The sequence below is a fragment of the Homo sapiens genome, chromosome 3 (assembly GCF_000001405.40).
Source record: "Homo sapiens chromosome 3, GRCh38.p14 Primary Assembly".
In the NCBI taxonomy this organism is placed as follows: Eukaryota; Metazoa; Chordata; class Mammalia; order Primates; family Hominidae; genus Homo; species Homo sapiens.
In genome coordinates, this window is record NC_000003.12 from 183,248,905 (window position 1) to 183,276,127 (window position 27,223).

The 27,223-nt window shown below is 43.2% G+C and overlaps 2 protein-coding genes, 1 long non-coding RNA gene and 1 pseudogene across 15 annotated transcripts in view, besides 2 other annotated features; 2 read left to right on the forward strand and 2 right to left on the reverse strand.

Moving 5' to 3' along the window:
• The window catches only part of MCF2L2 (MCF.2 cell line derived transforming sequence-like 2), a 250,579-nt gene that overhangs the window by 70,864 nt on the left and 152,492 nt on the right, over nt 1-27,223 (reverse strand). Inside the window, exon 16 of one of the 7 annotated variants that reach the window (XM_017005944.3) lies at nt 23,579-27,020. The exons of the other annotated variants lie outside the window; for them this stretch is intronic. Within the exon in view, the coding sequence (XP_016861433.2) occupies nt 26,957-27,020 (64 nt within the window). The 3' untranslated portion in view covers nt 23,579-26,956. Of the gene's footprint in view, nt 1-23,578; nt 27,021-27,223 lie in introns of those variants that run through there. 7 annotated transcript variants of the gene reach the window in all.
• LOC124906310 (uncharacterized) lies at nt 313-3,651 on the forward strand. The gene is made up of 3 exons (XR_007096189.1): nt 313-666; nt 1,880-1,961; nt 3,631-3,651. It is a non-coding gene; the product is annotated as an uncharacterized LOC124906310 (long non-coding RNA).
• B3GNT5 (UDP-GlcNAc:betaGal beta-1,3-N-acetylglucosaminyltransferase 5) lies at nt 4,349-24,481 on the forward strand. 7 transcript variants are annotated; one of them, XM_047449057.1, is made up of 5 exons: nt 4,349-4,568; nt 8,424-8,536; nt 10,154-16,670; nt 17,062-17,220; nt 20,594-24,481. In XM_047449057.1, the coding sequence occupies exon 5, from the start codon at nt 20,895-20,897 to the stop codon at nt 22,029-22,031; it is 1,137 nt and encodes a 378-aa protein (XP_047305013.1). In that variant the 5' UTR covers nt 4,349-4,568; nt 8,424-8,536; nt 10,154-16,670; nt 17,062-17,220; nt 20,594-20,894; the 3' UTR covers nt 22,032-24,481. The 7 variants fall into 7 exon arrangements, with proteins under 7 accessions (XP_047305013.1, XP_011511529.1, XP_011511530.1 ...); XM_011513227.3 differs by lacking the exons at nt 10,154-16,670; nt 17,062-17,220; XM_047449059.1 differs by lacking the exons at nt 4,349-4,568; nt 10,154-16,670; nt 17,062-17,220 and adding an exon at nt 4,917-5,329.
• Nucleotides 9,396-9,512, reverse strand: RNA5SP151 (RNA, 5S ribosomal pseudogene 151; annotated as a pseudogene).
• Nucleotides 14,198-14,902: an enhancer, noted in NCBI's record as "NANOG-H3K4me1 hESC enhancer chr3:182980890-182981594 (GRCh37/hg19 assembly coordinates)". NCBI's record gives its function as "activates a minimal SCP1, AML or CMV promoter by ChIP-STARR-seq in primed H9 embryonic stem cells {active_cell/tissue: H9 hESC(primed)}" and the evidence as "EXISTENCE:reporter gene assay evidence [ECO:0000049][PMID:30033119]".
• Nucleotides 16,825-18,024: an enhancer, noted in NCBI's record as "CDK7 strongly-dependent group 2 enhancer chr3:182983517-182984716 (GRCh37/hg19 assembly coordinates)". NCBI's record gives its function as "activates an origin of replication core promoter dependent on BRD2, BRD4, P300/CBP, MED14 and CDK7 cofactors, with strong dependence on CDK7, by STARR-seq in HCT116 cells {active_cell/tissue: HCT116}" and the evidence as "EXISTENCE:reporter gene assay evidence [ECO:0000049][PMID:35650434]".

The window sequence follows — 27,223 nt, forward strand, 5'->3', positions numbered from 1 at the left end:
ACCTAAGTGCAAAATTCCCAACACAAATGATCGCCTCTGGGCCAGCCATGTAGCCCCCATCTTGCTGTCAATAATCATTTCCAGGGGCTGTAATTGTCTTCCTTCCCCCTGTACCACCCCATCACAGGACACAAATTGTTTTGCTTAGTTTAGATAGCTGTGACTAAACTAAGTGCCAATTGTCTTTTAAAATATGTGTTAATCAGCACTCAAGATTGTTCCTACAAAAATGTCACTCCCTCACTCAATTTGCATGTGCCCTCCTGAGTAGGAGAGAAAGAGCTGAGTTAGAGGCAGCCCTCTGGGACCTGCACAGAACCCTGTATGCTTCCGGGAGTGTGGAGTGTGTGTCTGATCTGCTGCTGGGAAAAGGAGAAGAAATGCTGAGACACTCACTGCCAGGGGCTGGTATCAGGCCATTTTCACAGGGGCTGTTGGAGGGTTGACAGCACAGCTCTACTGGACCAGGGAGGGTCCCAGCCAGCAGGGCCTGCCCCTCCGAAACTGTCCCTGTCCCTGTCCCTGAGAGGCCCCACTGAGTGTCAGATGGCACATAAGAGATTTCCTTATGCGTTGGTGTGAAGGAGATGATCAGTTCCAGGAGGCCCCTCCCCCATGCAGAAGAGAAGAAAATGGAAGAAACCGGGTTCTCAGAGTGGCCTGCGGGTGAGTGCCGCCTTGTGCTGTCAGTTCCCTTCACCTTCCAGTTCTGGGTGTACCTAGTGTGGTTTCATCAAACTGCTGAGGCCCTGGAATTGAGGGAGGATGCTGAAGGGTGCCAGGCCATAGAAGCAGTAGCAGGAGCTGCAGCAAAGAGCTAGTGTGTCTCCAGCGTCAGCTTTTGGGCCTTGGTGGCATCAAAGGAGACGTACACAGGGCCACTGTACTACGGATGGGATTCTTGGAACAAAAGTTTGAATAATTGATGAGTGTGGAAGTGCTATGCAAAAATTCAATTCAACCTGCAGTTACCAGGCATTCATTCTGTGACAGGCATTATTGTGAGGGTGGCAAGGAGACGGGGAGTCTCTGAGAGACTCAGAGAAGAGCAGGGCATGGTGTCCACCCACAAGAGATCTGAAGACTTTCAAAGTAGTTGGGAAAACAGACATACAACTTTTTTCCCCTCCCCACAGCTAGTTGAGGCAAAAGACATATAACTTATACAGTGACAAAATACTACTGACTGTTACTGACACATAACAGCCTGGGCTGGGTCACTGGTGAGAAAAAGGAGGATTCTTGCTTTTGGGGCATTCAAGTCCTGTCCATTAACCATTTCCCAATCCCATATTTATACATCCCATTTTAGACATATTAAGCTGAAGATTGATGTGACATACCCAAAGACACTTAAGGTTGAAGCTGAGAATCTGGGCTAGAAATATAAATCAGGATGGGCTGGGAGCGGTGGTTCACGCCTGTAGTCCCAGCACTTTGGGAGGCCGAGGCGGGCGGATCACTTGAAGTCAGGAGTTCAAGACCTGCCTGGCCAACATGGTGAAACCCCATCTCCACCAAAAATATAAAAAATTAGCCAGGTGTGGTGGTGCATGACTGTAATCCCAGCTACTCGGGAGGCTGAGGCAGGAGAGTCACTTGAACCCGGGAGGCAGAGGTTACAGTGAAAGGAGATCGTGCCACTGCACTCCAGCCTGGGTGACAGAGCGATACTTCGTTTCAAAAAAAGAAAAAAAAAAAAAAGAAAGAAATGTAAGTCAAGATTAAAGACAATGGGTGAGATCAGCAAGGAGCATGTGTGCGGAGAAGAGAACACCAAGGAAGGCTGCGTGTGGTGGGAGGTGGCCGGGGGGCAGAGAAAGAGGCGGCGGAGCCAAGGAGATAGGGCATCGTCTGAATGGTGATGCTGTATCAACAGATGTGAAATTCCCAGAGGTGTGAAACACAGCAGATCCTTTACAGCACGATGACAGGACACAGCATGAGCCTACCTCTGCCAGGTGAGAGGAGCTTTCTGCAACCTGTGATGGGCTCAAGGATGCTGACCATTCATCCGCCCATTGGGATAGCCCAGGCTCTGAGCTCAGCACTCCACCCGTCACTGCGATTGCACTAATCCTCACCCACCCTTGCAGGCAGGTATTACTGTGGGCACAGAGAAGTTTGCTAACTTGCCAGAGATCCTGTGTAGGAAGCCAGGTCAGGAAACAACCAGAGTCTCTCTAACAGCCCAGGCCTTGAATGAACACCGGCCTGCTTCAGAATACATGGCCCGTGATGTGTTTGAATTCACAGATTCACTGGACAGGTTCCCTATAGGGCCTGTGAGGAAATCTGGTCTAACAGAATCCAGAAAGACAAATTTCGCTAAACAGGTCAAGCCTGATACTGCTGCTACACTTCAGCTGTGTTAAGCCACTCGGTTATCAGACCTGCTTCTCCTTTCATGATTTTAGTAACACAGGCCTCTTCCTTGGGCCCCTGTTGCTCCCACCATCTCCCAGGTTCTCTTGTACTCAGGGTTTAGTCTCCCCTCCCCACTACTAATGATGCATGTGCCTTACTCTCTGATCATCTCTCCTAAATCTGCTACTCCTCTGCTCTTTCTGTGCCTTATCTATCCCTGCCGAGTCTAACATGCAGATTTTGGTCATTCCAAAGTCATGTATAGATCTAATCACAGGGCTCTCTGCTTACCAGCTGCTACTTGGATAAGGAAAGCATGCCAACACGGTCCTCCTTCTTCATGCTGGCCAAGTCAGCATCATTATTATTACCTAAGTTTATTTCTAACACATCTCAATATCTTCATGCACTCCCTCTTGATAAAAGTAACTGAGCATAGCACCATCAATACCATCAAATCTGTCATTCTCTTCCCCTCTCTCTGGGTGGGACAGGAAGCCAGGCTGCTCTAGGAAATCTTCCCTAACAAGCAAAGGGGACTTGCCTGTCCTCTCGCATGTGTGATCTGAGCTTGTGTGGATCCCAGAGTGGGCATTCTGGACTACTTGACCTTGCCTATCTCTCCTTCACACCCTCTCATCTCTCCCTCCTACCACCAAAAAACTTGCATCGTATTTCCAATCTCCAGACATACTTTTGAAACCATTTATCTATCTGGTGTGTTTATCTGTATCTAGTATGATGTGAATATGTGATTTGTATGTGTGTCTACCACTGTTTTGGTCAGTTTGTATTTCTCGTGGGTACAGTTCTATGTGCTCATGTATGTGGAACATATGTATACTGACACATGGACCTAGCTCCAAATGATCTGAAAGGAATATAATTGTAATTGAATATTTGCACAGATATACAACATACACATGTGATGGCTGGGGGAAATGCATGTGGGATTTCAGTCAGCATTTTATTAGAGAAGGTATGTCATTAGTGCTGTATTAACAATGAATCAGCTTATTTGTGGGTCACTGTCAATGACTCCTTTGCAAATCACACATGTAAATATTTCTGTCTGTGGTCTGATGAACATGCAGTGCCACAGTCTGGGAGATGCTGAGCCATGCCCTGTGTAGGCAGCATATGAAAAGAACTGCATGATTTAAAAGATGCTGACCAGCTTAAGGAAAGCAATTTAAAAACTTCCTAAAAATCTAGTTTGAATGAACAACAGTTTTCATTTTGTGTGTGTGTTTTTTCTTTTAGAGATGGGGTCTTGCTATGTTGGCCACGCTGGTCTCTAACTCCTGGGATCAAGCAATCCTCCTGCGGCTCAGCCTCCCAAAGTGATGGGATTACAGGTGTGAGCCACCGTGTCTGCTGGCCCCACTGTTTTAAACCCTGATTCGACAATCATACATTTAACTCATTACCTGTCTTGTTCCTTTTACGACAAACTCAAAGCTTTTATTTTACTAAAGTATTTGGGTTAATCTTTTGCTTTTCTGTCATGTTCTGAAATATGTACAATAACAGAATCGCTCAAAATATTATCTCCGTTAAATGTTTTGTGGCTTTAGGGAGAGGTCTAACAACATGCGGGAAACAAGAAATCAAGCGCATCCAGGATTCATTTATAATCTCTCTCGTTGAGTAGAAGTCCGCATCTCTCGATATTGTCTGGTTACCTGCATGAAGTATTCTAAAGGAGGAAAATAGCTCAAAGAGGACATTCATGTGCACTCTGGCTTCCAGTTGGCCATTTGAGTAAGTGATCGCAATTAACTGACGAGCGGCAGGGAAACACTTCCTGGAATTCTCATCTACAGACAAGAACAAACTGGGGCGGGGCCCATCACCTTCACCTACGCGCCGGGAGGGTGGCGGCTGGCGGGCGGGGCCGGGCTCGGGCCGTGACGCCGAGAGTGCGGGGCGCGCGGCTGGGAGCCTCGCGCCCCCGCCCGGGCCCGCCCCCATCCCGCCCGCATACAGCCCGCATCCCGCCGGGGAAGCGAGCCCAGTCCAGCGCTGCCCGTCCAGTCCTCGCCCAAGATTTAAAGCCCGCAAGTTTTGTTCTTGAGACCAGCGACTTTAGCTCCGATGCGGGAAGGAAAGCCGACCTCCGATTTGGACATTTAAAGAGCTGGGCTTGAACTTCGTGAGTTTCGCTCTAAACTGCCCTTGAAATGAAGCTGGACTTGGAGGTAAAGTCACTGGGAAGCTGGCCTGGGGCGGGGTTTCCCCCTCTTCTCGTATTTTAGAAACGGACAGCGGCAGTGCAGCCCTAGTTTGCTGTAAGTTTCCTTACTTTGTTACTGAGGCCCCCAGAGCTCCACGCATAAGTGGTGTGACCAGAAACCTTTTAACAAGACCCGCCTGAGCCTGCGTTAGAGCTCCCGCTCGGAAAGTAAAAGACCATCCTAATCCGCGGCGCTGCGGAACCGGTGTCCCGTGTGGGAGGAACCGCGGCGTTCCCTGGGCGTAGGGCCCGCGAGGCCAGCACAGTCCGCCTCTTGGCGGAGCGCCCTGGGCCGGTGGTTCCGCGCGGAGTTAGTCTGTGGTCAGTTACGTGGTGAAAACACGGCTGTGCCGCGGCCGCATCTTTCCGCGGCCGAGGCCTCTCTGGGTGGGAGTGTTGGCTTCCTTTCCGGATCGCTAAATGGGGAAAGTTCTGGCCGCTCGGCGGGATACGTCTCCAGGCCACGGATGGTTCGTTCTCCGTGCCGCGGCCCCGAGCTGGGCTCCCTGGGTCTCCAGCGCGGGCTCCCGGCATTGGGGGCTGCGGGCCGGCCCCTCCGCCCCGCCCCCGCCCCGCCGCGCCTCCTCGGCCGAGCGGCTCGCGGTCTCCGGCGCGGGAGGCTCCGAGTCTGCCCACTCCGGGCCGAGCGAGGTCTCTGGAGGAGAAGAGTGGCGAGGAGGTGAGGGCACGCCGGCCCTCGCCCGGCGGGTGGCGCCAGGACTTCAGGTGGGAACGCGCGCTTGGGCCGGGGGCGCGTGGCTGGCGTGGACACCGGATCGGGGCCCGCCGCCCTGGCCCGGACCGCGCACGGCCCAGCGCCGGGAAGTCGGGAAGCCGGGGAGGCCTCTCCCACCGCGGGCCCCGGCAGCCCGCCCTCTGAAAGCGCGGCGGAGAAGGAGGCTCGTCCCCTCCCCGGAACGCCTTTGTTCCCTCCGGCCTGCCCGCGCGGGTGGCCAGCGGCTGGGACCCAGGCCGGGCCGCCGCCCAGGTGCGGCAGGTAGGCTCGGGGGCCGGGCAGCTCCGGTTGGGGCGGCTTCCCGGGGCCTGCGGGTCCCCGTCCCTGAGGAGCTCCGGCTCCTCGGTGGCGGGACAGGCCCGTGCGCGGGAGCCGCGAGGCGAACGCCGCGCCCACCAATTCGGTTGCCGGCCGGGGGCCCCAGGCTTGCGGCCACCCGCCTCCGGCTGGAGGGCTGAATTCGAGTCGAAAGCCCGTGTCGGGCTGGAAAGAAGAAACCGCCAACCTGAGAACGCTTTCGGCGAGTTACTGGCGGGGGAAATGGGGACAGGGAAGTGGGCAGGCGGGGAGACTGCAGCCGCAGATCTCCCTGGCGGGGAGGTCGTGGCCACTCTTTCCTTTGACTCTGCCTCATTTCATTTTGAATCCTGATGTGACAGAGGCAATTGCTTGCTTGGATACCATATAGGTAAAAGTAACAGTTTTCAACTCGACTCTTGACTACACCCTGTACATTCTTGGCCGGTGTTGGTTTTCTTAGGTTATGGATCATGTTAAAGGTACACCGATGTGGTAACCGCACAGTGGCCGATGGTGGCCTGAGGCTCATATTTATGGTAATTATCTGATGAAAGTACATCCATCAGAATTGGATTTGTGCGTCTGTGCCTTTATTTTGGGAAACCTTGCCTGTTCCCTGTGGGGGATGGGAGAGGAATGTGAAAAGCCGAAGTTGACCCAGAAAAGGATGATTGAAGGTAGTTGTATTAAGTGGTGGCACCGAAATGATTCCACCCTGAACTTTCTGAAAGGGTGATTAGTGATCAGCAGCAGACGTTATAACTTTCTCAAAATAAATTTATGGTAGATTTTCTATCTGGTCACAAGTGAGGAGGTGAAAGCTGCTTTTTGGGGCCAACTCTTTGCTTTTAAAGCAAGCTAAACGCAATACCAGAAAGGTTTCCATTCTGTACTTAACCTGCTTGTCCTTCTCACTCTTCCTTATCCTCCCGCACACGCTCTGAGCATTGACTGAGCACTCTGAGGAGGAGGCTGACTCAGGCTGACCCTTCCCGGCCCTGCAAGGCTCTAAGGTAGAACCAGTGTTATCACAGGAAAGGCCCAAGCCAAAGCTCAGAGCAGCTGTTCCTGAGAAAGTGGGAGATGAGGATGAGTAGGAGGTAGAGATGCTTATAACTGCTCTGCCCAGAGAAAACTCAGAAGGTGCAGAAGAGTTTTCAAAATAAAGTGCAGGCCCCATCAAGTAAAAAATGAAACATTGTATTTCATTAAAATGGTGATCAGTTTTCTCTTTTCATAAAAGACATTCAAATGGTGAGATTGTAAAAAAAAAAAAAAAGAAAAAGAAAACTTTCTAATTCTCAAAAATAGAACAGCTTGAATAATAACTCATGGGTTTTGAAATGGGTCATCTTTTAAAATGGGTCACTTTGGCTAGAATCATTGCACTTGGTGACTTTCACATTGTAAAGGGTCCAGTTCTTTCTGAGGCCCAATTGCACTAGAATCTGCATTTCAGAACACAGGAGGTATCAGGAAGAAACTGGGAGAAATTCAGAGGGAAATTGTCTCTTCTCAGAGTAACAAAATGTCCCCTATTCAGGGGGAATTTTATATATGCTGAAGTAAATAGATCTCAGCTTTGAATTTTTATAATACATTATGCCTTTTCTGAAATATTTCCATAGCCATTATTTTAATGCATTGTTAGAATAACCTTGTAAGGAGAGGAATTCATTGTATCTGTGTTCCAGAAACTGAGGCACAGTAAATTACAAGAGCTCTGCCCTTTGATATCGAATCTCTGTGAGCGAAGATGTAACCAGAACAGTGTAAATCTAGAATTACTTTCCTTACGGTATGCAATATCTAATTATTATGTATTAGTTTACATATATATAGGGGATGTAAGAATCTTTATATTTAAAGGATAAGAAACTTGATCAGGTGAGATACAAGATTTGAATAAAAAAGCGATTTTTTAGAAACATTTTAATTCTACAAATTCAGTTGCTGGCTTTGATATGTAACTTATTCAGATTTCTCTTCCATAGAAGGCTTTAACACTAGAAGCCAGTTCTCTACAAAAGAGAATGTTCTACCAAGTGTGTAGGCAACAAAGCCCAAAAGTTCAAGTTCAAAATACTGTTCTACAGCCTAAGATCCACCTAATATTTCAGATTTGACTCTTTTGCTCCTTTCCTATAACTTCCTATAACTTTTTCATAGTGCTCTAAGCAAAGTAAGTTCAAGGATGGACTCACCTCAAGTTTCCTTCTCTTACTTTAGAGGACCATATAATCTTATACCTGTGTCATCCTAATTGAAATGTATTTTAAGTGCTTGTGGGAACAAGAATAACGGAAGACCGTTATTCCATTAATGGAATAATGGGGAACATGAGAAGGACCATATTCAGTCAATTAGGGATGATACTTCTGCCTCAACAGTATTTGCGATGTGTTAAATGGCCCTTAGCCATCAGATCAGTATTTTTAAAAACTCCTACCTAATTAATGTTTTTTGAGAAGAAGCATATTATGAGTATAGCTCAGTATTCTAAAAAGAAAAAAACCTGAAAAAAAAATCAGCCATCCATTAACTAACCCATCCTGGTAAAGCTACACAAACAGATTCTAGAGAAAGGAAATTTGCACAGATGGAACATCTAATCTGGACTGACATTGTCAACAAGTTATCTCAAATGATCCTGAGAAAACACTGGTACATGGTTTAGAGACAAGTCGAGCTCATGTGACTAGTAAATGGAGAGGCACAGTATACATCTACTTTTGTTGGCATTTAAACACTCTCGGCTTTTTTACTCTCTTTCACCACCATCAGGTCCAGATTCCAGCTTGCACTGGAATATTTATTGACCCTTTGATAGAAGAGCTACACCTGAAACATCTCTGAAGTCTTTTTAGCATCCTATCCTGCCCATGGCCTACTACACAGTATGTGATAAGTTAATGTTTGTTGAATTAGTTAAATATACGTATTAACCTACTTTCAGGGCTGCCCGCTGTAATGCCTAGAATAGGGCAGGCACTTAATAAATGGTAGTTAACTTAGACTAAATGTTGATCCACCAAGACAGAAACATGTTACATATACCTCTTGTTTTACACCATCTTCTACTTTTTGTACCTCTGTGTTATAAACCCTCTATCAAGTGTTGCTTCTAAAGACAATGTCCAGAATGGGACGTAGGAACTGCCACTGGGCAACAGGCAGACACTGGGTTATATCGTCATCCTGTTTCTGAATCCTGGTTTTTCTTATTATTATTCAACCACAGCTAAACTTTCTGATCTCCTTTTTTCCGTTTTTTCCCTTTACCCTAACTTCTAGCCAAACTAAGTGATTTGACATTTCCCCACTCAAGCCACAACTTTTTCTCTTATGTGCTTAAAAAAAATTCCTGCGTAGTCTCTCTTGGAATGTCTTATTCCTTGCTCCCTCCACTTCACCCTTTTTTTTTTTTTTTTTTTTTTTTTTTGAGACGGAGTCTCGCTCTGTTGCCCAGGCTGGAGTGCAATGGTGCCATCTCGGCTCACCGCAACCTCCGCCTCCTGGGTTCAAGCGATTCTCCTGCTTCAGCCTCCCGAGTAGCTGGGATTACAGGCATGCTCCACCACACCCAGCTAATTTTTGTGTTTTTAGTAGAGATGGGGTTTCACCATGTTAGCCAGGATGGTCTTGATCTCCCGACCTCCTGATCCGCCCGCCTCGGCCTCCCAAAGTGCTGGGATTACAGGCATGAGCCACCGCACCCGGCCCACTTCACCCTTTAAGCCAGTTGAAATGCTCCTTGCCCTACTCCTCCCTTCTCCTTTTCTTTCTCCCATCCAAGTACTAACCAGGCCCAACCCTGCTTAGCTTCTGAGATCAGCCAGGATCAGGTGCATTCAGCGGGGTATGGCTGTAGACTTCTCTTTCTGAGCTGTGTCTTCCTCCTTTCCTCCCCAAACCCACATTTGAATTCTGTTCTAGCTCCTGCTCATTTGCCACCTCTCCCACAAAGCCTTCCCCAGTTTCCATCTTCTCCCTGCTTCCCTCATCTCAGAGGAAAGCTCTTCATTCACAGAGCACCTGGTTTGGGGTCCATAGTTTGTTGTCCCTCAGTATCCTTGGGGAATTAGTCCCAGGACACCACCCCCCCGCCCCTGATATCCATGCATGCTCAAGTCCCTTATATAAAATGGTACAGCATTTATATTATAACCTATGCAATATTCCCATGTACTCTTTTTTTTTATTTTTATGTGTTTAGAGATGGGTCTCACTCTGTTGTCCAGGCTAGAGTGCAGAGGCATGTAGCCTTGAGCTCCTGAGTCAAATGATCCTCCTGCCTCCGCCTCCCAAGTAGTTGGGATTACAAGTATGAGCTACCACACCTGGCCCATGTACTTTAAATCATCTCTAGATTACTTATAATAACTAATGCAATATAAATGCTATGTAAACAATTGTTACACGGTATTGTTTAGTGCATAATGACAAGAAAAAAATGTGCATGTTCAGTACAGACACGACCATAAATTTTTTTTTCAAATGTTTTTGATCTGTAGTTGGTTGAATCTGAGGATGCGGAACCCATGAACGTACACGACCAACTGCATATGGGTTTCTAATAACAGATTTGTGGATGAAGCCCACCCAACATAATGCAACATTTCAAATGTATCTTAGTCAGTTTTTCTGGGGCAAAGCCAGCCTAACAAATCTCAAGAATGTTTGAAAAATTCTAGCTTGAGTGAACGTTGTTCTTCTAGTGACTCAAATAAAGCAGTCATTGTGTCTGAGGAGTCCTAGTGGGGTGGCAGGGGTGGGGCTAGGAGTAGTGGCTGTTTGTAGCATGTTTTATATCACATTAAAGGGCTGGGTATGCATTTTAGGCAATAATTCTTACTCTTATTGATAGGAGAACTTGTATTTTTTATTCATCTACCTTATGATGGATAACTGGTTTACATCTCTTCATCAGGTTTACTTCTTACGTGTCATTTTATGAGCTGACTTTGAATATATCTTCAGATTTTCCCTGCCTTTACACATGAAAACGGTTTTGATACAGCTTTTTCATTAGAGAATGGCAGCTTTTCCAGGCCAGGGTGTCTGTGTCTGACTCCTCGCCTTTCATTTTACCCAATACTTGCTTAAAACATCCTCCCTGAGTCCGGTACTTTTTTGCCTCCTCTCCTTCCTTCCACCCCACCTCTTTTTGTCACCCTCCTGCGACTTTGGATCTCCATCCTTGGAGTCCCTGAATCTTTTTTGTGGTTGAAAGACTACACCCAAAGGACACAGACTGATGAGGTCACTTCTGCCCACTGTCTAGTACTAGTGAGACCAAGAAGAAGAAGGAGGGAAAACTGAAATGGAAGGTTTGAAAAAGAGTGTGTTAGTGAAGGAAGTAAGAACAGTGCTAACAGAATGCAGCAAAACAGAAATGACTTCACACTTCTGGCAGTGAAGCAAATTCTCATCCATCTTGGGTTGCTTCTCTTGACCCTGCCCACCTCCTCCCCTGCCCTCCCCTCCCGATGAGAACTGCAGGAACACCTGTGCCCATGCCAAGGAAAAAGGGCAGGTGAGGAACACAGGGATGGGGCTGGGACTCACAAGCTGCTCTAAGCTGCCACAGGGTCTGGAATTTGTTGACATTACATGGTTAACTCGGTATCTCGATGCCTCAGTATCTTCTGCAAAATGTGGAGGGAGATCCTTTCTTCCTCAAAGGTTGTTGTAAGGCTTAAAGAGCTACCACATTCGTAAGGCATTTGGAACAGGGCCTGGTATATAGTAGACATACCCATGGTAGTAACTGTTGCTAGACTGGGTAAAAGGAGAAGTTTCTTAAGTAGGCAAGAAAAAAACTGACAACAGTTATATTTAAAAGAGCAAGCAACCGTGTCAGCCCAAACAAGTGTGTTGCAAGAATGAGCACAGAGGGCCAAGCTCAGAAAAGCGAGTGTTTGACCTCTCTGAGACCTCCTTTATATGTCAGCTTTTTTATTTGTTTCAAATTTTGCATAATCAAACTGGTTACTGGGAATTATTGAGTTCATATAACTTCCCTAAAATCTAAGAATAATCTATAATCCCATGCCACCAGTCCCGTTAATAAAGACTTAGGGTCTGTCTTTACCCATTTGTTCATTTGAAATTCCCCGTCTTTACTTCCCCCATAACCAGGAAACAGATCTACACCCATGTTTAACTTATAAAGAGATATAAGTGAGTTTACATAGGTGGAGATCTTGTACCTGGATTCACATTGTAGGTTTTATTACCCAGCTTTCCCCTCTATCCCAAAGCCATGATTGCCATAGTGGAATTTAAAGTCTTTGGACTAACACTGAATCAAGAACTAACTCTACAAATGTATTCTCTGCAGGAGGATAAGAATTCCAAATGGCTTCTAATTGTTGCCCATGGCTTGAAATAAAGTTCCATATAGCTAAAGCCCCAGCACAAAAACACTTGAAGACAGCCATTAGGTAGAATTTCTTTTCTTTTTTAGAGGTCTTATATTGGAAATGTAACAGTTGCAAAGATATCTAATGTTTCACCTTAAAATGTGAGTTATAAATTCACATTTCACATTGCCTCCTTCCTCCTTGAGCAAACAGACTAGGCAATTAGTACCAAATAGTAACTAGTTATATTTCTTAACACCGATTATTGTAAGTAATTTATTAAGAAAAAATCTAGGAAGATCAAATTATAGCTTTTCCAGTAAATCTGGGGCTTTTTATTCCTGATCTCTCTCAACAAGGCAGTTTGGCTTCTGAAGATTGGTCCTAGCTATACTTAACAGGAAACAGATGACGAGAAGAAGCCAGGAAAAAATACTTGGAATATAGAACAAAATGCAGCATAAAGATGGTACAGAAGATTTTATCTTTCTTTCCTTTAGTTATGTGTGGACAGGAACTAAAAACTCTCCCACGTGGGACTTTATTAAGTAATAAAAGTTTAAATGTAAAAGATATAAAGGAATGAGGATATAAAGGAAATTTTTTTAAAAACTGTGACTCACCGGAGGAGCCTTATATAGTCTACTTTCTAAGCATATCACTTTTAAAGGGATCATTATATTTTCATGATGCATGGGGATATTCCAAGTATTAAATTGATTTTTTAAATGAAGAAAATTATCAGTTCAGTCTTGTTTTCTATGTAGGTTTCACTACAGTATTTTATTTCCCCCGCAAGGAAAAAACCAGAGCTAGAATGGAATGATTAAATTTCTTAGTTTTCTTCTAATCTGTTAGTCTTTCCATTAAATTATACTGCCTTCTTATATAGAATTTCTGGGTTTGTTCTTGTTTTGGCAATAATTGAAGTAAGAGAGGATGATTTTATGGTAGAGGTTTGATTCCATTCTAGATTGGTGTTTTTCAGCTATGTAGAACACAATCCATTCATGGTTCAGACAACCGTTTTAGGAGGTTTTCATGTCCAGCATTAAAAAAAAAAAAAAAAGAATAGAATTGGGCATTCATATATATATATATATATGAATATTTATTAATAAAAGTTTAAAAGATATAAAGGAATGAGGAATGCATATATATTATATATATATATACCAAATTAAAGTATCATAATACTAATACAAGGATTAGTATCGTTTTATGATACTTTATTATATACACTAAGGGTTAGTCTTGTTTTATGATACTTTATTATATACACTAAGGGTTAGTCTTGTTTTATGATACTTTATTATATACACTAAGGGTTAGTCTTGTTTTATGATACTTTAGGTTGGTATACATACATATACTAAGAATGCAGACATGTCCATGGAAGTTGGCAATATTCAGCCCCCAGCAGGCCCCAGTCAGCAGGACAGGGATTAGGGGAGTCAGGTGAGGCAGGGCTGTATAAGTGCAGGGTTGGAGCCTGTCTTGGTTTACCGTTTTGACATTTTGTTCACTGTGGATTTTTTTCAGTAACTTTGATTTTTTAAAAATATTGCATCAAAATATTATACTGACTACGGAGTTTTTGGTACCCCCTTAAATTGTGCACCTAAAATAAGTGGCTCCCTTGTCTCCCCCTAGTCCCGGCCCGATCAGTATGTTTTATAGAGGGAATGGTGAGTGTTGGGGAACTAGGGAGCCCATGAGGAGGCGGCCCAGAAGGGGAGGAGGAGCTGATGGTGTGTCTGATGTCTCCTCCTTTCTCTAGGAAGCAGACAGGAGGTGAAGTCTTCAGGGTGGGGGGGACAGAGCCTGGGAGGGGGAGATTTAGCATGGCCGCTGAAGAGACTGGGAAAGGGAGAAGGTTCGGGACAAGTTCAGGAACAGTCACGTAGCACTGAAAACTGCTCAAAGCTAGATAGTGCCATTTGTGGTGACGCTGCCTGCCTGGTAAGTCCCATTTCCCCAGCAGCCCTGGAGGTGTCATAGGAACAGGAAGATGGGAGGGCGCTGGGGTCTGGGGTTGTTGGGGTGGGAGGGCAAAGGTGTCCAATGATTCTGCATCTGAAACGGGGGAGGTGTGTGAGGAAGAAAGGTCAGGAGACTGCTGGGCAGGGTGGGGTGGCAGAAGGTTCTCGATGAATATTTAGAAGTTGCAGCTGAGGAGTGAGTGTACTATAGAGTGAGTATCCTGGAATTTGAGGTCTCAGAAGAAATGCAGTTCTCAGTGAAGCCATGTAAACAACTTCCTGGCTGATAAGGTGTCTTGAGTGTTGGGAGATCACATGATCAAAATGGTATACACACCATAAGGTGTCCTTAGACTTGAGTGTGGTGTAAGTCTACTGAATAAAATGCAGAAATACAGTTCACTGTTGCTTTTCTTCCTGGAAATTGCCCTCCCCAACCTCAAACCAGCCCCCAAGTGGGGCAGGGTCCATCTTTAGACCCTCCTGTAGCACCCAGCACAACCCTAACTATATGGTCAATGTCTCTCTTCCCCACTTAGAGCTCCAAGACCAGGGCCTTGTTTGTCCTGCTTACCCACTCTACCCATTTGTTAACCCCATCTTAATTTTCTGATGAATGAGCCCTTTTTTCATTGACTCCTCCTTTCTCTCCTTCTCCGGAGTTTATTTTTCCTCCAGGCCCATTGCTGTCTCTCCACCTAGAGAGCTTATCCACATTCATGAAATTAGTCATCTTCATGCTCAGAGTACCCACCTGGATCTCTCCAGTCCTGTCTAACTCGTCTTAGATTATTACCCCCTGGACATCTGTACCTTCTTGTCTCTCCATCGCCTCGAACTCAATGCGAGTCTAAAATCAAATACTCCTTCACTCCTAACTCAGGAAACCAGTTTTCCCTCCCTTGTTGGTAATGCTTGAAATTAGCTCTTACTTCTCTTCTTCCTCCTTTACTCGCCATCCCAGGTCATTCATCAGGTCCTGCTAGGTCTTTGATTTTCTTGAAAGGGCCTTCTTTATGCCTTCCTTCCGTCCCCATTTCCACCACCCTCGACTAGGCCTTCCTCACCTCATCCGGCATCAGTGTGAGCCCTTGAGAAACCAGCGTCCTGATCTTCAGGCATTCTGCATTTCACCCCATACCACCATTAGCCAGTTTAATCCCTCTTGCTCAAACTTAATAAATACTGAGCAAGGGAGTTACTATAACAAACAAAACCAGAAATTTCTATGACTTCCTGCTGCTTTCTGTACCCCCCTAAGACTCCTCTACCTGATTTTCAAGGTTCTCCATAAGCAGGTTCCCACCTCTCTGCTTTCAAATCTTCTATCTGCCATACACAGTTCTTGTCTAAAACAAAGATTGTTCCTACTCCTGCAGCCACCTAAATCCTAGTCGTCCTCAGGCCCTCCTAAAATCCTGACTAATCCAACCCCCACCGATTTCTCTACTAGTCCCAGAGACTTCCCTCTTGTGCCTGGGGTTGGTGTCATGCAGACACACTGTACCTTACCAGGATTTGCCCATTGTTGTCTGTGGGAACTATGCTTTCATGTGGGAACTACGAGTCTTGTCACAAATAGAGTGTAAATGCTTTGAGATTGGAGACTGTAAAATACTTCTTCATGATCTCCCACTGTGTCTGGTATAAGAACCCGCAGAGTAAATACTCATATACTTGTAGGATTAATTGAAACAACTGGAGACTGAGGTTGTTTAACTTGTACTTAGAAGTGTGGACCTCCCCATCTTGATTAAAACTTCAAAACGGATAGCAGGTTTCACATATTATCTCAGCATCACAAAAGTAGACTCAACAAAGAAATGAGTTGACAGCAGGGGTAAGGTTTACAACAATCAGGGATTATTGCAGGGAAACTTGTAGCCTTTGGGTGTTCTAACTAGTTTTTTCCCAAAAAGTTTAAAGAGCTCTCTTGTGAAAGAATATTCTTATGAGTAACTGAGGGGCACGGCTCCTAGACTGAAAAGTATTTGGGATCTGTCACCTCTTTTCTGATGTTCCTACTTCTATTCTTTATTCTTCTGACTACCTCTATTAGAAAAGATAATACTAAGAATACCTGTCCCTTCTTCTCAGTCCAAATAGAAGCAAACCCAGGTTGTATCTGAGATATCTGCATATTTTCTTCTAAGCAATTCTTTGTCCTCTTCTCTCCCATGCTTTTTCTATTTCCTATTTTCAGCAGGCTCTGAAGTCATTTATAATTTTTACTGCCCCTCGGTGACATTACATGGATATTCATCCCTGATTTGCAGATTAAAGCACCGAATCAGAGTGAGGTGAGGGTTGCCCAAGGTTACACAATAAATCTGGCCCCAAACAGGGGTAACCCTTGAGTTTCTAGTCTGTTGATTGGCCACTGACCCGTGCTGCAGGCACACAAAGGAAGCTGCACCCACAGCAGTCTGTTGTGGATGGTTGCTGAGCTGCGCATTCGGCATTGGGCTTGCTTTGTTTCCTGCCAGGCCCAGCATTTTCTTCTACCAGATCGGCAGGCTTGTGGGCTTCTTCCTAGGTCCCTCCCCTGCACTCTGAATAGGAAAGCTGGAAGCTGTGCTTTAGAGAAGCTTTAAGACGCCGAAAGAAACCAGAAGAGTGAGCGCCAGTTGTATGTGCGTGGTCTCCATCCGCAAAGCCGGAGCTGGGCGCAACAGTGTTGACTTGTAATTGATCAATTTAGATCGGGCGCAGGCCGGGGGAGGGCAGTGCTTTTGATTTAGGCTGGGAAAGGCCTCCTAGTGACTATGTTCAATTTGGAGGAATTCAGATGTTCTTTTGTTATACAAGTGAAGCTGTGTAATACAAATGAGGAGTTTTACTTTTCCTAAATCTTCCCCTTATCATTCAAGTATTGAGGAGTTTTACCTTTCCTAAATCTTCCCCTTATCATTCCAGTATTATCAGTGAGATCTGGTTGTGATTTATGTAAATGGTGGCTAAAAAATTCAAACTACTGAGGGGGAGAATTCTCATTTTACAGCTTCACATGCTGTGCTGAACTAAATAAGTAGCGTGGGATGTTGGCTTTGTGACAGGTCTTTTGTCATTTTTCAGAAAGCATTTTGACTTGTTGATGTCAATTTGGAACAGCTGAAAAAATACAGGAAAATAAGATAAATACGTACATGTTGAGGGTGGGGACAAAATGAAGGTTCTGAACCAGCTGCCGGCTTACAGTAGCCATATAAGCAACAGCAGCAATGCACCAACCTGGTGAGTAATAGGCCTGATTCACTGGAGAGATACTAGCACCTTTAATGAGTCAGATAGATGCACAATGGGTGTGGGAGCAGTTGGACTTGTGGGCACAAAGTCTAGCAAGAAGCTCAGACTTGCAAACAACTGTAGGACGTGCAAAGCAAGCTGGCATTGGAGCTTGCCGGGCACAGCTGCTCAGGAATAGGCAGCTGGTTTTCCCTTTGATCCCTGAGATTCCAAAGGTTACTTTCCTCTTTGTTCCCTTCCCAGGGTCAATTAGAGTAGAAACTGCAGATGCTTTTCAGTTGAGAATTTTCCTAGAATTCTCAAAAATGTGTATGCTGGCTTAAAATCTGCCATCAAGAATTCTGTTACCTTGCTTTAAGCCTCCAGTTCCTTCCAGATGTATGGTGGAGGAGGCCAGAGGGCCCTTGTTTTGGGGCTTCAGAGGATGGTTGTTATCTGGATGAGCACTGTGGAAAGACTGAGAGAGCAACTGAGAGAAAGTGGGCCCCTGAATGAAAGTGATTTCGCAAATTTTAGGCAGATGCCACCATCAGAAACTGATATTTTCTGACGTCTTTCTCACCTTCCTCTAGAGCATTCAGTCCAGAAATGACCAGCCTGTCCAAAGGGGGAAATTACTGATATTGATCTGTTCCTTAGAGCAGTGTTTCAGTCTTTTTTTTTTTTTTGAGATGGAATCTCATTCTGTCACCCAGGCTGGAGTGCAGTGGCACGATCTCGGCTCATTGCAACCTCCACCTTCCTGATTCAAGTGATTCTCCTGCCTCAGCCTCCCAAGAAGCTGGAATTACAGGTGTGCACCACCACACCCGGCTAATTTTTGAATTTTTTATAGAGATGGGGTTTCACCATGTTGCCAGGCTGGTCTCAAACTCCTGACCTCAAGTGATCCTCCTGCCTCGGCCTCCCAAAGCGCTAGGATTACAGGCGTGAGCCACCATGGCCGGCCTTCAGCCTTTGTGATATTAAAGCACAGCAACACATTTCCCATTACACCCCTGAACACACACACACAGAAAACCCAAAAGTTTCACAAAATGATTCTTGCTCTTACTACTCTCAGTACACTCTGTATTTAAAAAAAAAAATGCTGGTTGTGGCTTCCTAAGTGGTGCGTGCAGTTTTCAAATCAATGCCCTTGGCGATAAAGTGTGCCCTATACTGATTATCTCTGGACAAAGTCTGAATGGGGCTTGGCTCTAATCTCTAGTCCTCATTGGACATTTTACATACCTGGCCTTTGCCTCCACCCTGATGTGGAGTGATCATGGGGGTGGGAAATATAGCTGGATCCGAAAGCTCTGAAGTGGGGATGGAGGTGTCACAGCTGAGGCTAGGCCCATTCTGCAGGGCACTCAGTGTGTACAGTTGGTTTTCTATCAGGGGTCAACCGGCGGGGGGACTTGAGAACAGATCTCTGGGCACAAAGCAGGGCCTTTGCCCTGGGGCTTGCTATGTGGCTCAGCCTACACGGCTCTCTCCCCGTCAGTCCTGTCCAAAGCCCAGGAAACTAATGTACCACCCCCGAGGAAGAGAGCCTACCTTTCCATCCAAGGAAGTGTTTTACCTGTGGTAAGCACGGGGGACAGAATTCTTGAGGAAGGAGGGTGCTGCGTCCCAGTGGTGGAGGAAAAGAGAGGACCTGGTGTAAGCAGCCATGGCATGGACCTCATCCGAGGTGGCACCTGGCTAGGGTCCTGACCTCCAATCCTTCCCCAGTAACCATCACTTTGAGTAAACAGTGGCTCCACCCCCGGCATGGTTCTTTGCACCAACATTTGGGGAATGCCTACCAGGGGTCACACACTGAGCTGGATGCTGAGTGTAGGGTGTCCACAACATCGTGCCTAAAAAGTCTCTGTATGGGGTATAAGAAGGTGCTGGGGCAATACAGATGAGATGAGAAGCATCTTTCAGGGAATGGGTTGATCCCAATTCAGGCTTCCCAGAGAAGGATGTCTGTAGACTTCATATTAGCAAGGGAGGAAGGTAGCCAGGCCACAGGACTGCTGGTGTAAAGACCAGGGCATATGAAATGGCAAGTGTGACTGTGCTTTCAGCCAATAATTTGGTATTGTCAAATGATGGGACCAAACAGCTGGAGAGGCAGATCCTAAAGGGTCCTGTGGGCCAGGCTGGACTTCATCTTGTCACTAACTAATGGAGAGGCTCTGAAGGAGTTAAAAGAGCTCAGTTTGTCTCGTGGTTAAATCCAAGTTTTACAAAGGTCACGCTGACTGTAAAGTGGAAGGTGGGCTGGCCAGGGGATCATCTAGTCTGGGTGAGAAGTGATGATAACATGAAGGGGTGAAGAGAGATTTAGAAGAAGTGATTCACAGGATTAAACATTTAAATAATGGAAGTGGAGAAAATGGGGGGGGCGGTTCCAGATTTCAGGCATAGATGAAAGAAGTGCAGTTAGGCACATGTAAAGAGAAACAGGAACAGCAGGTTTTAGGGGAGAAGATAACAGAATGGGTGAGAAATGACACTTGAGTACCCTAGTGTGCTAGGTAATCATCTGTCTACTTCCCTTCATTTGTCATGTATATTCCCATTTAATTTGCATAAAGACTTCGAGTTAAACGGTCTTACCCCAATTTGTCAAATTTCTGCGCATGATATGGTACAAGAAACCGTAAGTGGCTAAGGCGGCATTGGTGTTCAAATTGCCTGACTACAAAGGCAGTGCTTGTTGGCTACATTCTGTTGCTTCCCAGTTTAGAACATGTTACATTGAGGCGCCTGCTGCATTTCCAAATAAAAAAGTACAGAAAGAAGGTGGCTGTATAAATCTGGGGCTCACAAAGTAATTTTGATTACTGAGAGTTTGCTTTCAAGGAGCAAACTGTGACTCCTTGATTATGAACCTTAATTTAAAAAAAAAGAAAAAAGAAGTCTTACTCTTATTCCTGCCTTGTCTGGGGCAAGCCTTAATGGATTTTTACTGCTGTGAATTTTCTTTTCATTGAAGATTTTGCCTTGATCTATGTATCTGCTTTCATCCTGACCATATTCAAGTCAGTATATTCATGAATGTACCTGTTTGTGAAATTTGAACTTAAGTATACACGATTATAGCCGTTTGGGAAGCTTTTTTTTTTTTTTTTTTAAGAGTAGGAGTAGAAAAAGGTCTCTGTACTCTGAATGGGAAGACAGTGTAAAGCAATTTTTTCCCTTTTCCTGTCCTCCTTTAAAAAAAATAAACAGCCGTATGCCTCTGCTAAGTACTAACTACCTCATCACCTTTTGTGCAGACAGGGCAGGTTACATTTGGTTTTAAGGAATTAGGAATATGTTTCTTTCCAGCACCTTAGTAACCCACGCGATTGTGATTCTTTTCTCTTCTTGACTGTGATAGGTGGCATGGAATATTCACATGGGAGAGCCGCATGAGGCCGCCCACCACGCTTCCTGAAGGATGCCCGTGTGGAAGAATTTTGACGTGCCAGTGTCCTCGTTCTACAGGGTGTTCCATTCTTCCGCAATCTCAGAAAAATGGGACTAAAAGAAACTATTTTGTAAAATAAGAAGACTTCCATTTTTAATGACCAACATGTATTAAGATGGACACCTACTCTACGAAACACGAAGTTCTATGGTCTCGAAGAAGCCCGTGCCTGTTTAAAACTGATCCTAACTAAAAACAGACTTGAGTGGATATGAGAATGTTGGTTAGTGGCAGAAGAGTCAAAAAATGGCAGTTAATTATTCAGTTATTTGCTACTTGTTTTTTAGCGAGCCTCATGTTTTTTTGGGAACCAATCGATAATCACATTGTGAGCCATATGAAGTCATATTCTTACAGATACCTCATAAATAGCTATGACTTTGTGAATGATACCCTGTCTCTTAAGCACACCTCAGCGGGGCCTCGCTACCAATACTTGATTAACCACAAGGAAAAGTGTCAAGCTCAAGACGTCCTCCTTTTACTGTTTGTAAAAACTGCTCCTGAAAACTATGATCGACGTTCCGGAATTAGAAGGACGTGGGGCAATGAAAATTATGTTCGGTCTCAGCTGAATGCCAACATCAAAACTCTGTTTGCCTTAGGAACTCCTAATCCACTGGAGGGAGAAGAACTACAAAGAAAACTGGCTTGGGAAGATCAAAGGTACAATGATATAATTCAGCAAGACTTTGTTGATTCTTTCTACAATCTTACTCTGAAATTACTTATGCAGTTCAGTTGGGCAAATACCTATTGTCCACATGCCAAATTTCTTATGACTGCTGATGATGACATATTTATTCACATGCCAAATCTGATTGAGTACCTTCAAAGTTTAGAACAAATTGGTGTTCAAGACTTTTGGATTGGTCGTGTTCATCGTGGTGCCCCTCCCATTAGAGATAAAAGCAGCAAATACTACGTGTCCTATGAAATGTACCAGTGGCCAGCTTACCCTGACTACACAGCCGGAGCTGCCTATGTAATCTCCGGTGATGTAGCTGCCAAAGTCTATGAGGCATCACAGACACTAAATTCAAGTCTTTACATAGACGATGTGTTCATGGGCCTCTGTGCCAATAAAATAGGGATAGTACCGCAGGACCATGTGTTTTTTTCTGGAGAGGGTAAAACTCCTTATCATCCCTGCATCTATGAAAAAATGATGACATCTCATGGACACTTAGAAGATCTCCAGGACCTTTGGAAGAATGCTACAGATCCTAAAGTAAAAACCATTTCCAAAGGTTTTTTTGGTCAAATATACTGCAGATTAATGAAGATAATTCTCCTTTGTAAAATTAGCTATGTGGACACATACCCTTGTAGGGCTGCGTTTATCTAATAGTACTTGAATGTTGTATGTTTTCACTGTCACTGAGTCAAACCTGGATGAAAAAAACCTTTAAATGTTCGTCTATACCCTAAGTAAAATGAGGACGAAAGACAAATATTTTGAAAGCCTAGTCCATCAGAATGTTTCTTTGATTCTAGAAGCTGTTTAATATCACTTATCTACTTCATTGCCTAAGTTCATTTCAAAGAATTTGTATTTAGAAAAGGTTTATATTATTAGTGAAAACAAAACTAAAGGGAAGTTCAAGTTCTCATGTAATGCCACATATATACTTGAGGTGTAGAGATGTTATTAAGAAGTTTTGATGTTAGAATAATTGCTTTTGGAAAATACCAAATGAACGTACAGTACAACATTTCAAGGAAATGAATATATTGTTAGACCAGGTAAGCAAGTTTATTTTTGTTAAAGAGCACTTGGTGGAGGTAGTAGGGGCAGGGAAAGGTCAGCATAGGAGAGAAAGTTCATGAATCTGGTAAAACAGTCTCTTGTTCTTAAGAGGAGATGTAGAAAAATGTGTACAATGTTATTATAAACAGACAAATCACGTCTTACCACATCCATGTAGCTACTGGTGTTAGAGTCATTAAAATACCTTTTTTTGCATCTTTTTTCAAAGTTTAATGTGAACTTTTAGAAAAGTGATTAATGTTGCCCTAATACTTTATATGTTTTTAATGGATTTTTTTTTAAGTATTAGAAAATGACACATAACACGGGCAGCTGGTTGCTCATAGGGTCCTTCTCTAGGGAGAAACCATTGTTAATTCAAATAAGCTGATTTTAATGACGTTTTCAACTGGTTTTTAAATATTCAATATTGGTCTGTGTTTAAGTTTGTTATTTGAATGTAATTTACATAGAGGAATATAATAATGGAGAGACTTCAAATGGAAAGACAGAACATTACAAGCCTAATGTCTCCATAATTTTATAAAATGAAATCTTAGTGTCTAAATCCTTGTACTGATTACTAAAATTAACCCACTCCTCCCCAACAAGGTCTTATAAACCACAGCACTTTGTTCCAAGTTCAGAGTTTTAAATTGAGAGCATTAAACATCAAAGTTATAATATCTAAAACAATTTATTTTTCATCAATAACTGTCAGAGGTGATCTTTATTTTCTAAATATTTCAAACTTGAAAACAGAGTAAAAAAGTGATAGAAAAGTTGCCAGTTTGGGGTTAAAGCATTTTTAAAGCTGCATGTTCCTTGTAATCAAAGAGATGTGTCTGAGATCTAATAGAGTAAGTTACATTTATTTTACAAAGCAGGATAAAAATGTGGCTATAATACACACTACCTCCCTTCACTACAGAAAGAACTAGGTGGTGTCTACTGCTAGGGAGATTATATGAAGGCCAAAATAATGACTTCAGCAAGAGTGACTGAACTCACTCTAAGGCCTTTGACTGCAGAGGCACCTGTTAGGGAAAATCAGATGTCTCATATAATAAGGTGATGTCGGAAACACGCAAAACAAAACGAAAAAAGATTTCTCAGTATACACAACTGAATGATGATACTTACAATTTTTAGCAGGTAGCTTTTTAATGTTTACAGAAATTTTAATTTTTTTCTATTTTGAAATTTGAGGCTTGTTTACATTGCTTAGATAATTTAGAATTTTTAACTAATGTCAAAACTACAGTGTCAAACATTCTAGGTTGTAGTTACTTTCAGAGTAGATACAGGGTTTTAGATCATTACAGTTTAAGTTTTCTGACCAATTAAAAAAACATAGAGAACAAAAGCATATTTGACCAAGCAACAAGCTTATAATTAATTTTTATTAGTTGATTGATTAATGATGTATTGCCTTTTGCCCATATATACCCTGTGTATCTATACTTGGAAGTGTTTAAGGTTGCCATTGGTTGAAAACATAAGTGTCTCTGGCCATCAAAGTGATCTTGTTTACAGCAGTGCTTTTGTGAAACAATTATTTATTTGCTGAAAGAGCTCTTCTGAACTGTGTCCTTTTAATTTTTGCTTAGAATAGAATGGAACAAGTTTAAATTTCAAGGAAATATGAAGGCACTTCCTTTTTTTCTAAGAAGGAAGTTGCTAGATGATTCCTTCATCACACTTACTTAAAGTACTGAGAAGAGTATCTGTAAATAAAAGGGTTCCAACCTTTTAAAAAAGAAGGAAAAAACTTTTTGGTGCTCCAGTGTAGGGCTATCTTTTTAAAAAATGTCAACAAAGGGAAAATAAACTATCAGCTTGGATGGTCACTTGAATAGAAGATGGTTATACACAGTGTTATTGTTAAAATTTTTTTACCTTTTGGTTGGTTTGCATCTTTTTTCCATATTGTTAATTTTATACCAAAATGTTAAATATTTGTATTACTTGAATTTTGCTCTTGTATGGCAAAATAATTAGTGAGTTTAAAAAAAATCTATAGTTTCCAATAAACAACTGAAAAATTATCATGAGATGTGTATTTAAACTTTTTCATGAACATTGCTTATATAATCATTCCTTCTGTCTTAATGTACTACATGGTCTTAGCCCTGTTCCTATAGGATTATCATGTTCTCTGCATTATAGAGCCACCTAAGATGTACTTTTTGTTAAATGACTCATGCTGGAATATCTGGATGGGGAGATGTTCTTTCCTAATGTAGTCATGTGCCACAAAATGACGTTTCGGTTAACGATGGATCACATATATGATGATAGTCCCATGAAATTGTAATGGAACTGCCCTATACAGGTGTACCATTTTTTATCTTTTATTTCAGATTTTTACTGTACCTTTTGTATATTTAGATGTGTTTAGATACACAAATACTTTCCATTGTCTTACAATTGCCTGCAGTATTCAGTACAGCAACATGCTGTACAGGTTTCTAGCCCAGGAGCAATAGGCTCTACCATATATCTAGGTGTCTAGTAGGCTATTCCATCTAGGTTCTCGTATGTATAACCTGGGATGTTTGCACATCGATGTGGTCACCTAAAGATGCATTTATTGGCCAGGCGCCATGGCTCACGCCTGTAATCCCAGCACTTTGGGAGGCCGAGGCAAGTGGACCACCTGAGGTTAGGAGTTTGAGACCAGCCTGGCCAACATGGTGAAACCCCATCTCTACTAAAAATACAAAAATCAGCCAGGTGTGGTGGCACACACCAGTAATCCCAACTACTCGGGAGGCTGAGGCAGGAGAATTGCTTGAACCTGGGAAAGGGAGGTTGCAATGACCTGAGATTGTGCCACTGCTCTCCAACCTGGACGACAGAGCGAGACTGTCTCAAAAAAAAAAAAAATGCATTTCTCAGAACTTATCCTCATTGTTAAGCAATGCATGACTATAATCTGTTGAGAGAGGGATGAAATCACCTGTAGTTATAGCGCTTTAAGATACCATTTGAAAAGGTTACGTTTTCCTTTTCTTTGACACGGTTAGCTGTCTGAAATACAGTCAATTTTAACCCTAATCTCTTAATATCAGGAATGCCCTTACACCTACTTTGGAGTGTCTGGTGCTTCGATATAGTTGCATGTAATGTGCTCTCATCTGTTTTTACCTGATTCCTGCTCAGTTCTTCACATGGCATATTGTGTAACTCAATCTATATTTAAAACTTGTAAGCATCCGAATTATTTGTTTATGGTAGAACTTTTTACTTGCAAGTCGTGGTAGGAGTGTTTGTAGTTGGTACTAAAATGTGATGACTTGGAAGAATTAATTAATGACCTATATTTGGGGACTTTAATTGGATGCTATAGCTGCAATGAGAATAGAACCAGAGAACTCTTGATATGCAAGGTTATTCATTCTGTGATAATAATGAGAGGAATATTCGATGTCTCTTTGAGTCAGTTTTCCTTCCGATCACTTCCGCATTCTGCAGTGACACAATCCTTAATCATAGCTTTCATTACAATATTCCTTTACTCCAGACCTCAAAGACTCCTCACTGCCTCCAGCATCAAATCTAAACTCTTCTACCTGGTTTTCAACGCCCTACGTAAACTTTTCCTCCTTCATTCCCTATAGCTTGGTTTTTTTTTTTTTATCACTGCCACTATTATCTATCACAAATGTCAATCATGACCATACCTTGCTTAAGTTGGTTTCCCTTGCCAAGAGCACTGTTTTTCCTATACCTGTTGAAATTTTGGAAATCCAATTCTACCTCCTCTCTTCCCTTAAGCATCTCTTCCTTCCCTTCTCCCCAAATTTATATTTAGTCACATATATTATCGTACTACCTACTAATCATTCCATGTGTTTTTTTACGAGCTGTAAGTTCTGAAGGCAACCATGCCTTGTACAGTGTCCACTTAGGGTTCTGAATAATTAATCATCTCCCCAAAATCTGAAAGCCTTCTATATACCAAGCAAATTTGTTTAGTTATGCAGCAAAACTCAAATCTATAAAATCAAAAAGGAATAAGGAAATACAGATTAAACAGTTGCAGCAAAGACTGGTGATCTTAAGGTATTTAGTCAAAGCTGGTGGTAGAACAAAAACAGTAGTCTTACAGATTCTACCTCTTGATTAACTCAGTGGCTAATTTTGCCTTTTCTCAAAGTTCTTTTGCAAGAACATAAAGATATTTTTGTTTCTTTAGTTGAGTGCTGTAACTTTATTCCTTTGTGTTTCTCATAAGTATGATTTGGCAGTCTGCCATACGTTTTTTGTTTTTTTTCTTCCTCTTTGAGACAGGGTTTTGCTCTGTCACCCAGGCTGCAGTGCAGCTGTGTGATCACAGCTTAGCTCACTGCAGACTTAGCTTCCTGGGCTCAAGCAATCTTCTCACCTCAGTCTCCTGAGTAACTGAGACTACAGGTGCACCCCACCACATCCCGCTAAATGTTTTAATTTCTTGTGGAGATGGTGTCTTCACTATGTTGCTCAGGCTGGTCTTCAACTCCTGGGCTCGAGCAATCCTCCTACCTCAGCCTCCCAAAGTGTTGGAAAGTGTTGGGATTACAGACCTGAGCCACCACACCTGGCCTGTTATAAGTTAATACAATAATTCATCAACTAACTTAAAGAACACTAAGACTCTTACAAAAGTAGGTATGAGTTTTAGTAAAAGTCTCAAAAGATAAACTGTCACTTAAGGAAAACTAGAGAACATATCATTGCCAAATGGTGTTTTTCAGAGATTATACCATTCAACGCCCACATGCTGAATTGGGCCATTCATTATAACT